At 56.3% G+C, this 11,467-nt stretch overlaps 1 protein-coding gene across 20 annotated transcripts in view; it reads right to left on the bottom strand.

Annotated features, from left to right (window-relative positions):
- The window catches only part of HPCAL1 (hippocalcin like 1), a 124,701-nt gene that overhangs the window by 20,824 nt on the left and 92,410 nt on the right, over positions 1-11,467 (bottom strand). For 19 of the 20 annotated variants that reach the window (XR_007073115.1, XM_047444095.1, XM_047444099.1 and 16 more), the window contains one exon: positions 9,861-9,946. The gene's annotated coding sequence lies outside the window, so the exon portion shown is untranslated. Of the gene's footprint in view, positions 1-419; positions 517-9,860; positions 9,947-11,467 lie in introns of all 20 variants that reach the window. The other variant, XM_011510347.2, reaches the window with a different exon arrangement.

The raw sequence follows: 11,467 nt of genomic DNA, 5'->3' as shown, positions 1-11,467 counted from the left end.
CCATGTACGTCTGTCCCTGTGACAGTTCCGTGTTTCTACAGAGGTGAAGGGTGCCGGATGCCAGGCGGGGAGCAGAGCCACGCAGCACCCGTGCCAGGGCCAGGCTAGAGCGAGCCCGGTGGAAATCTGGGTGTGGAGTCCTGGCCACAGAGCCTGGGACTTCCTCTGCCCCCACCCAGGATCTCGCTTTGAAGGCGAAGTTGGGGTTTTCAGTGACAGACCCCAGAAACATCAGGCTGAAGTGAGAGTGGAGTCTCTGGACTGGTTCCTTCACCCACACCTCAGTGGTTCCCGAGTCCTGTTCCATGCTGGGTGTAGTCACACGTGGATGGACAAGACACAGACCCTTCCTGGGGCTCCTTGAAGTGACCCCCCACACACGCCCATGAAACAGCAGTGATGGGCATGAAGAGACTTACGTGGGCTCAGGAGCTCGGGCGCAGAGCACAGAGGTCAGCTGGGATGGGACAGAGCTGAGGGCTGAGCCAGGGCTTAAAGGTTCCAGGAGTTCTCCAGCTGGGACAAAGGGAACAGTGTGTGCCAGGGCATGGGGACAGCGAGCACTGGGTCCTGTGGCACTCAAGCCCTGCACGACGAGGAATCCCCACATGCCACAAAAGACTCTTCCAGTTTCAGTAATGCTGGAAGGAATGACTAAAGGAATTAGCGCGGAGCATGACTGTAGGAGAACGCATGTTGATGACAGCAAGGAGGGGTGAAGGGGAGAAACAGTAGAGGCTCAGTGTGCCCACCTCCCCACTACCCGGTAATGCTCCATAGAACACCAAGAATAATTCTATTACTATTCAATCACACAACAAAAACTCAAAAGCTGAAACAACCATGTGAATCACCCAACGTCCCATTTGCGGGGACTTGGCGCATACTGCAAGCTGACTGCTCTTTGGGAGAAAATGTAAGAGGGCACAGCAGGCTGGAGATACTGAGGCTTTAGACGCCCCTTCATCAGTCCCTCTAGATGTGGCCCCTCGTGCAGTCAGCCAGAGCTGGCAGGGCGCTGCTCCTGCCCGAGGCCCCCACCCTGGCTTGGCTGTGCTGATGACGCCTGGTGATTTGGCATGCCAGCTCCCAGGCATCTTGGAGCGCATTCTTCCTGGCTCTTTGTGCCAGCTGCAGAATGACTCAAGCACTGACCCATGCCTGGGGGGAAGATCTACGCGTCAGATGGCAGAATTCCGTCTGCAAATTCCACCCTGATGTTCCAGGCCAAGAGGTGAGCAACAGCCCTTCCCCAGGGAACCGTGTTTCACCCTAGCGGGAGCAAAACTGAGACTACGGGGCCAACTCTGCTGTCGAGTGCCTCAGCCTGCCCTGCCAGCACCCAGCACGCCCTGGAGGGGCCATGGAGGGACAGGCAGCTCTTCCAGGGTCTTGGAGCCATGCCCTGGAGTCAGGCAAGGCTGGGCTAGAGTTGCCAGTGTCAACGCTCCAGACCCAGCCTGTTTGCTCCTCTGTAAAATTGAACCAGAATGCCAGCTTCAGGGGCCTGCAGTCAGGATGAGGGTGTGTATATGAGGGGTGCTGCTGGGAGCAGCCCGCAGACCCAGGGGCCCTGCTGGGGGCTCTGCCCAGCCTGCCCCGTCTCCAGCCATATGGTCCTGGCTGTCTCAACTTCTCTGGGCCTTATTTTCCTTGACTGTAAAATGGGAATAAGGGTCCCTGCCTGCAGGTTCTACTGAGCAGTTGTGAGGATAAAGGGAAATGGAATCTGTAAAAGGAGTGCCAGCTGGAAAGCACCAGTCAGATGCCTGGGGTATTGGCACAGCTTTACAAGAAAGGCGGCCATCTTGGGAGCCGATTCCTGACACTGAGCACAGCCCGGCGGGAGGTGGGGGCTGCGGCCTGGGCTCGGTGGAATCTCTGCACTGCCTGGCGAGCCCTTCTCGCTCGGCACACCCAAGCAGCGGCATTAAAACCTGGTCCTGAGGCCCAGCTGGGCAGAGAGCCTGGGACCACGGTGGCCTAGACACATCCAGCTGGGGCAGGGTGAGTGAAATTCCAACTCCTGTTCTTCAAAGAGAAAATAAAGAAAAAGGACAGAAGAAGCCCAGTCATGCCACAGCAGGGCAGAGCCCACTCGGTCCAAGATGCAAGAACTGCCCGACCCTGGGGCAGCAAAGGAGCCCGGGATCTGGGGGCTGCTCAGCGCCTGCAGGGCATGGGAGTGAGGCTGGGGCTGCCTCAGGGCATGAGGTCCCTCCTCTCATCTCCGTCTCTGGGGAGTCTGTGGCTGCTGACTGCTTTGGGTCTGTTTAAAAGGAAACGCAGCATCCTGCTGACCAGCACAGGCCAGGCTTTCTGCAGGATTTTGCAGACAATGTAGGAGATGGTCCCAGACTTACCCAGAGCGCTGGGGCTGATACCTGAGCTCAGCGGGGCTGGGGAAACACTCACCCAGCAAAGACGGGGTGAGGGGCATTCCAGGAGGAATCCTCAGTGTGCTGGGAGGCAAAAGGGCATGGCTGGAGAAGGGCTGGCGGGGACACAGCTGGGGAGGAGGCCAGAGTCTGGCTAAGGTGGGAGCTCCTTCCAGTCCCAGACTTCATCCTGGGGTGTTTTCAAAGTGTGTAGGTGTCAATGACTCGCAGGCCCAAACTTTTGGGGAGACCACCACCAGCAAGTAACTTGTCCCTGCTACAAACCTCTGGGCTGGTGACCTCTGCATGTACCTTCATGGGTAATGAATGGACAAATGATAGAGAACATTATGGAGCAGTGTATAGAGCAATAAAGAACAAACAGAATATGGAACAAATGGGTACATTAACAAATGCAGGGTATGGGGAGGAGAGGCAGCCAGAAGAAGGAAGAGAAAAATACCATCGAAACTTAGGAATTCAGACCAATTACTTGAATGGTAGTTCAAATTTGTAAAGTCCGAGTCAAAAAAATACCTGAAAAATTGCCTCTGAATTCTTGATCAGGTAAGGACTGGAAAGAGTGGGCGTTTGTAATGAACGGATAAGAACTCTTTGTTGGCCGGACTCGGTGGCTCACACCTGTAATCCCAGCACTTTGGGAGGGTGAGGTGGGCGGATCACCTGAAGTCAGGAGTTCAAGACCAGCCTGGCCAACATGGTAAAACCCCATCACTACTAAAAATACAAAAATTAGCCAGGCATGATGGCAGGCACCTGTAATCCAGCTACTCAGGAGGCTGAGGCAGGAGACTCATTTGAACCTGGGAGGCGGAGGTTGCAGCGAGACAAGATCACACTACTGCACTCCAGCCTGGGTGACAGAGCAAGACTCCGTCACACACACACACACACACACACACACACACACACACACACACACACACAAAAGAACTCTTTGTTATGAGGGCATCATTTTCAACTGCAGAATGGAGCTGGAGGCCTGGGTGACAGTGGCTATGTCACACACCCTGACGGCTCTCACTTTCCTCATCAGGGTCCAATATGTGTTTGGACAGTGTGGCCCCTGAGGTATGAGCTAGCTCTAAAAAACATCCTTGAGAAAAACATTTAAAAATAAAGAAAAATAAATAAATAAATAGAAAACTTCTTTGAGTCTATCCCCAGAGGAGGCTTCCAAAGCACCTGAGGAGCTGCTCACTGAGCCAGGACTGGTGTCCCTCTCCCCGGGACCTTGTTCAGCAGAACCAGCTGCCTAGCTCTTGTCTTAGTAGATGGTAAAAAGCAACATTTCTGCCAGGTCCCTGCTTGAGAAATGACTAAACTTGATCAGTTCATGAGCCCCAAAGGAACTATTTCCAAATTTTGAATTTATGTGTCCCAAATGAATGGGGTTTGGCCACATTGTAATATATCTCGGGTGGAAACCATTTGTAAGAAATACCATTGTAAATGTTAGACTGAAGAGGTGTTTGTGAGACGCGCGTCCTCCCTGGGGTTTTGCGCAGGCTGCATGGCTCTGTCTGCAGGGCAAGGTCCACCCTGTGCTGTGCTGCCCACGGCTGAGCTCAAGGTGGGAGGGCTCTCAGGTGCCTGCCTGGTGTCCACACCAGCACACCCGTCAAAAACTTTTTCTTTAATTCTTTTTTAAATTTGGAAGGGAACCTCCAGTGAATCATCACATGCATTATTTGATTCATGTTTAATATCTCTGGGAAGCAATAAAAACAATAAATCATTATTAATAAAATGGCCTCAGCCCGGCTGAAACGCTAGGCACAGAATGGTGATGTTCCAGCCGCCCTCGGTGGCCCCAGCAGCTACAGTCTGGAGTTAACTGTTGGCAAGTGACTTATCCATGATCACCCAGGCCTCTGACTCATAGAGAGTGTGTTTATAATCAGGAGTGGGGCAGCTCATAAAAGCCACTCTTTGCCATCTTTAGTCTTTAAATCACAGCACCAGAGGCCACAGATTCTGCAGGGAGAGTTGTGGCAACGCACCCACCCATACACACAAAGTGTAATCAACACGCAGTCACGGAACACCCCTTACATGCAGGCCACAATGCTAAGTGCTGGGAAGACACCGAAGTGTAAAACGCCCTCAGAGCGCTTCCAGTCTGGTCGGGAAAGCAAGACAGGAACTCCTTCTTTCCTTCTCCTACCAAGGTTCAGTTCCTGGCCGGGTGCGGTGACTCATGCCTGCAATCCCAGCACTTTGGGAGGCCGAGGCGGGCAGATTACCTGAGGTCAGGAGTTCAAGACCAGCCTGGCCAAGATGGTGAAACCCCGTCTCTACTCAAAATACAAAAATTAGCCGGGCGTGGTGGTGCGCGCCTGTAATCCCAGCTACTCAGGAGGCTGAGGCAGAGAATCGCTTGAACCCAGGAGGCGGAGCTTGCAGTGAGCTGAGATCACACCACTGCACTCCAGCCTGGGAGACACAGCGAGACTGTCTCAAAAAACAAAAACAACAACAACAGCAAAAGCTTCAGTTCCTGCTCTGAGCCTGGCGCCGGGCTTGGGTGCTGGATGGCAGAGGGAGACAGCATTCCAACATGGACCAGCAGCCTCAAGCCTCCAGCTTCCCAGCTGGGCCCCAGTTCTCTCCTGACCCTTTTCCCAAGGACAGAGAGCTGGGTTCCATTTACCCAGGGTGTGGCTAGGAATAATCCCATAACCAATTATTAGCACAGCGCCTAGAACACAGGAAGCACACAGTAATTGTTTGACGAGAGGCAGGAAGGAAGTCAAGGAGGGAGAGAGAAGGTCCGGGTGATCTAGGCGCTCCTTACAGACAACTTCCAAATCCTCTGCAGATCCGGCCTTGGAATAGTGGATCTTCGGCCACCGCGGCACTGTCTGTGCACCCTCCGAGAGCCCCATCAGACACATTCTAGCCCAGATAGTCTCTAGCCTCAGCAAAAGAGCCAGTTTCCCGGAGACCCTCTGGGGGCCTAGGAACACCCAAAAGAACAGATATTTGCTAAACATCGTCTATGATCCCAGTGATTACTTCTAAGCTAAAAATTTGCACATGGGGTCTGAGAAGTCCAAGAATATTCTAGGGGGTAACTGAGAGAAAACGTGTAATCTGGGCTGTCCCAGAAATACCAGGCCCTGTGCCTGGTGTGGTGCTGGATGCCTGGGGAAGGGGAGCAAAGATCACTGTGGACTCCACCTAGAGAGGCCGGTGACATGGGTGGGGAGGAGCCTGGCTGGCTCGGACCTGGCCTGGAGACCCGGGGCCAGCAGGCAGCAAGGTCAGGGGAGTGTCCTTGTGCAGCCTCGGCTGTGGCTGCCTGTGTGGCTGAGCAGACTAAGGGGCAGGTCAGCCGCCCTTCCTTCCACCTCTGCCTGGCATCTCCCAACCAGATGGGGAGGCTAGGCCGGTCTTGCTCATGTGGGATCTGGATGCAGCCCTTCACACAGAGCCCGACATGGAGCAGATGCTCCGGAGATGCTGACGGCTAGGATTCCCCCGCCAGGCACCTGGCGGTCCTGCAGAAGGGCCAGGACAATGTCCCCAGCCCTCCACCAATTCCAGGGCAGATGAGAATGCCAAGTTGTGCCTGCCCACAATGTGTGTATGTGTGTGCGTGTGTGTATGTGTGCATGTGGGTGTGTACGTGTGTGCAGGCACGTGTCTGCCCACAATGCTTGTCAGACAGGATCTGCCCTCCGTGGCTGAGGGCTGGAGGGGACGACCACAGGAAGTGATACTGCCAAGTCATCCCAAGTCACCCTAAATATAACCCTCAATGTACAACACAGGAGGATTGTCCCTTCCCCGCTGCCCTGCCTCATGACCAGCGTCTGCCTAGGAGGGCACTTCCAGAAAGGCCGCTCAGATGGCTCTCTGAGATGCCCGCCTGGGATCCACGGCCTGGCCAGCACTAGAGGGGAGGCAAGCCTGGGGTCCTGCTCTTCCGGCCCCAAATCTCCATGGCCCTGTTCATCTAACTTCTTCCAGAAGAATTGTTGGCTACACAAATCACTATGAGCAACAATGATCTCTTAAGCCTGGGAGGAGGCATCCTTATTTAAGGGACACAGAGGGCTGCCGTATGGTGGGGGTCTGGCTGTGCCGAGATGCTGCTCGCACCTGTCTTCCTCAGCGGTCGGGGTTGCCAGCGTCCTGCCCCTCAGGTGTGACCCACTCCGACCTGGCTGAGCCGCCTGCTCGCCCCCTCCTTGCCACGGGTGCACGTCTGCCACAGGCCCTTTGCACCAGCTGCTCCTTAGCTAGAAGCACGCCCGTCCCTGACCTCCTGCAGGCCTTTGGTCAGGTCTCATCTCAGGAAGGCCTTCCCCAAGCACTCTATCCAAAACCGACACTCATTCTTTATCCCCTTTCCAGCTTGATCCTTTCTCTCATTTCTGTTTTGTTGAGTTCACTGTCTGTCTCCCCTTGAGTGGAGCTCAAGGTCCTTGGGGCCAGGTTTACTCTGGTCTGTTCTCCATCAGAAGCCCAGAGCCTGGAAGCTTGTCTGACACAGGGTACGTGCTCCATGAACCCACCTCAAGGGAAGGAACGCATGAGTGTCTGGGGACGTGGAGAGGGAGGCTGGTAGGGGAGGCTGGGACTCGAGCCTTAGTATGCAGGTGCTGCTTCTCCACTGCCCGGGGAGCGGCCTGCTGTACATGACCAAGGGCCAGGGGCAGAGAGAAGCGGAAGGCCCTTCCAGTGCCCATCACCTGACCCACAACATCCACGGCCAATGGTGTGAATGTGCTGGAAAGTGCCTTCTGATCCCAGAGTCCCTCAACTCGTGGTGGTGGTGGTGGCGGTGGCGGTGGCGGTGGTGGTGGCGGTGGCGGTAGTGGTGGCGGTGATGGTGGCGGTGGCAGTGGCGGTGGTGGCGGCGGTGGTGGTGATGGTGATGGTGGCGGTGATGGTGGTGATGATGGTGATGGTGGTGGTGGTGGTGATGGTGATGGTGGTGGTGGTGGTGATGGTGGTGGTGGTGGTGGTGGTGGTGATGGTGGTGGTGGTGGTGGTGGTGGTGATGATGGTAGTGGTGGTGATGGTGGTGGTGGTGGTGGTGGTGGTGATGGTGGTGGTGGTGGTGGTGGTGGTGATGGTGGTGGTGGTGGTGATGGTGGTGGTGGTGGTGATGGTGGTGGTGGTGGTGGTGATGGTGGTGGTGGTGGTGGTGGTGGTGGTGGTGCAGTGATATTATTTGCTGTGCGTGCACTGAAATGCCCCAGGGGTCTGGGGATGGGAATGGACACCTCGGACCACCTCCTCTACCCTCTTCTGATCTCTTCGCCTGCTCCAGCTTCTTGACACGGGTATCAGCCTCAGCACGACCTGCCGGGCCAGGCGCCTCCCCTGTGCACCCGTGCTGACAGTGGCCTCGGGCCAGGACATTTGTATGCAGGTGACATCCAGGTAACACGGACCCAGATGTTCCCCCACTCTCTAGCTCCAGTAAGGCTGGTGGATGGAGAATGAAGGAGTGGAAGTGGCCCCTTCACATGCAGTTGTGTCTATTTTCTGCTGAGAAAAATACTTTTTTCTCAGCTAACCACACGCTAACTGGCACCCTGAGGCTGAGGCCCCAGCCTGGATGTCTCCTCCCAACCCAGCAGCTACTGTGGCAAGGAGAAAGCGGAAGGAGAAATCGCCTCCCTCAGGAAGAGGAAGGCAGGAAAACCCACCCCACCCACGGGATGCAGATCTAAGGGCGGGGCAGGGGACGGGCAGAGGGTGGGGAGCTCACTTTGCCCTGGAAACACCACGTGCGTGCGTTGGTGCCCAGCGGGAAAGCAGCCACGCCCGGGGTCTGCCCTGGGCCCTGGGCTGACCGGCTGCGGGACTCACATCTACCAGGGCCACAGATGAAACCTGCCACTGGTATCTGCCCTCCACCCCTCACACAGCCCAGAACCCCATCATGAACACTGAAATTAAGACAGTGATGCTTTAACAGGTTTTGGGTCCAAATTTTAGCCTGGCTGAGTATTCAAAGGTGGTTCCTTCTGAGTGGGAAGATGAAAATTATAAAGAGCATCTCCCGTGTCTAGGGCCAAGAAAATTCCAGACTTTTGGAAAGCGACTTTGTATGAGGACTTGGAGGACTTTAATCCTTATACAGGACCCTGCCAAACTCACCAGATGCAAGTCGGTGATGAGGGCTCTCAGGGGCTGGGCATGGCCAGATGGGGCTCTGTCCCCAAATGTCCCTCCCCCAGGTGTCCCCCCGGGAGCCTATGACAGCTGACCCTTGCTACATCCATGGCCCCAACTGATGCTCACAGTATGCAGGAGCAGGTGGGGCAGGGTGGTGAGTGACAAGAGTCACCATAATAGTCATGAGACCATGAGAGGGAGGAGGGAGAGAGAGGAGGAGCTGTGGGGCAGCCAGGTCCTGCTGGTCCAGATACCACAGGGACACTTCACTCCAGGTCTGATCTCGCATTGACCCTGAAGAGGGTGTTTTTATCAACCTTAATATGCACGAGATTGGAAGGGGCTGTGAAGAGGCACAGCCAGAATTACACACTCTCCAGCATCGCATACCTGGTTCCTTGCTTACAAACAAAACCAAACCCTCAACGCTGGAAGGGCAGCCCCACAGCATGGCTGGCAGGCTCTCCAGACCCGAGGGCAGCCCCGGGACATGGCCAGGCCTTCCTGTCTCGGGAGCTGGCAGGATGACCAGGGTCATGAGGAGCCCTCCCGAGCTCACGGAGTTAGCTCAGGCAGGGCCAGGAAGGATTCCGGATGGAAAAAGCCCCTAAGCCAGGCTAACACTGGGGGAGAGGCGACCAGTGGCCAGGCCAGGGTGGTGCATTCAAGCTGTAAGCACTTTGCCCTCCCTCAAGCCTTCCTCGCACCCAGAGCAGGCAGGGGCCTGGGGGGCTGCAGGGTGGCGGATTCAGACAGACCCTGGGCCCGGCAGCCTACGGTAACTGCTCTGAGGGGAGAGCCACATGCCCAGCTCCCAGCGCAGACAGCTTATCTGGCGTGGGTGGGGGTCCAGAGGGCTGAGTGGCCCTGACCATGCACAGGAGCCTGGGAGAAGGAAGCTTCCAGGTACAGGGGCTGCAGGGGATAGAAGACAAAGAAACCCGGACACTAAGACAGTGCCCTCCTTGCCCTCACCCACACGTCCTTCTCAAAGTTCTGGGCCCCTCATTCCCCTGACAAATCGCCAAACAGAAGCACCGAAGGTCACGCGATTTACCCAGAAAGACCTGGCCAGCTTAGGGCGAGAGCTGAGATGGCTGTGGGGCCTGGGGGGCTGTTTCTCTGCATTTCCGAGCCGCAGTTTCCTGACCTGTCTAGGGGTGCTAGCTGGGCTGCCCCCCACGCCCAGTCTTCCCTGCTCTTTCTGCTGAGCTGGGTCCAGTCCCCACACATGGGCAGGACCCCACGGCACAGCAGGAGCCACCCACTTCCATCCTCAGTCCTCACCCACCCTGAGCCAGTCGGCCTCTGGGAGTGACTTACCAGAGACCAGGCGGAGGCTGAGAGGGAGTGGGTCAGAACCTCCAGGGAGTGTTTCCGCGTCCTGACTGGGCCACTAGACCATGCCCCTGGAAGAGAAGAGCGACAGGTCACGCAGGCTGTGACGACCCGGCCCGGAGCCCATGCCCCTCCCTCTGGTTGCTTCTGTGGTGCCTGCTGGGGGATCACAGTTTTTGCAAGTGCCATGCTACATACAGAAAGCCCTGGCTCCCGGCCTCCGGCCAGCCACCATGGACAGGGGCACATGCCCAAGGCCGCTGCACCCCAGCAGGCGAGAAGCCCAGGACAACGTTGATAGAAGCCCCAAGGTAAGATGCTGGCCACCCTTCGAGTGAGGTTGCTGGTTACTACAAAACTGGCATGGAAACTAAGTGTGGCCGGGACCTCTGTGGTCCACAAACTCAGGTTCAAATCCCAACAGCATTGTCACCTGGGGCCATCACAGACGCACAGCCTCCGTCCTCACCCAGCACTCTACACTCTGCACCCAGGGCTGTTACGAGGGTTCAGTGGAATCAGGCACACCCAGGCCTGCCACCCACGACTGTGCCCTGCTCCCTTCAGGGTCTCTCCAGCCTCCACGGTTTCTTGACTGGCATACCTGGGTTGGCCCCTCATCACCCGACCTCCTCCTTGAGGCCCACATTGCCCCCAGCATGCCTCCTGGGCCCAGCACAGGGCACACACTAGGTGCTCAGGAAGAGGTCAGGACGCATCACCTGACATTCAGCCCGCAGCTCAGCTCAGAAAACCATCCAGAGACTGAGAAGGAAAATTTGCATTGCGGGTGTCTAGGTGCTCGGCCACTCCCACCCTCAACCCTCACTGCCAGCTCTGGCACAAGCGTTCCAAGCACCTTTCACGTGGCGTGAACTCGGGACGGGCCCGCCTCCCTCTTCTCTGCCTGCTCCCCGGGCATGGATTGGTGACTCCTCCTCCGTGAACCTGCAGCCTCTGGTACATATGTGTATTAACAGTGTTGAGGCCGACAGCTCTATACAACCAGGCTCCTTGCTAAAGGCTGTCTATGCATTTGTACTCATTATCCAACGTAATCCACACAGCAGCCCTGGGAGGCAGGCACAATCATCATCCCCATTTGACAGACGGGGAAAAATGGAGGCTTACAGGAGCTAATTACCTGCAAGATCATGTGTCTTCCAAGGGGCCGAGCCAGGATGGAATCCTGACAGTCACTTCACCTGACGGCCCGTTTCTCTTCCGCATCTACCGCACACTCCCTAATTACTTTCTCCCAACGCAAGGTTCTCTCTCTCATAGCAACGATCCCGCTTTACAAGCACCCACTAGACGAAGTGGCTTGTTCACCCTAGAACACCCAGCCTCAGCACAGTGCGGCGTGCCAGCGGGGCTCCCCTCGCTCCTGCACAATGGGGGTGCTGCACCTCTCCCCTCCTTCCACCCACCCACCAACCCACCCCCCTGACTGTGAGCGCCACAAGGTCAGGAAATCGTCCGTTTCACGTCTATGCGTCCAGAGCCTGGACACAGCAGGTGCTCAACAAATAATGTTTGACAAATGAATGCCCCCGAGATGCATCACGTGTGATTGGAAATAGGGTGTATCT

Source organism: Homo sapiens, chromosome 2 (assembly GCF_000001405.40).
Source record: "Homo sapiens chromosome 2, GRCh38.p14 Primary Assembly".
Classification (NCBI taxonomy): Eukaryota; Metazoa; Chordata; class Mammalia; order Primates; family Hominidae; genus Homo; species Homo sapiens.
This window is presented reverse-complemented; position numbering and strand designations above follow the sequence as displayed.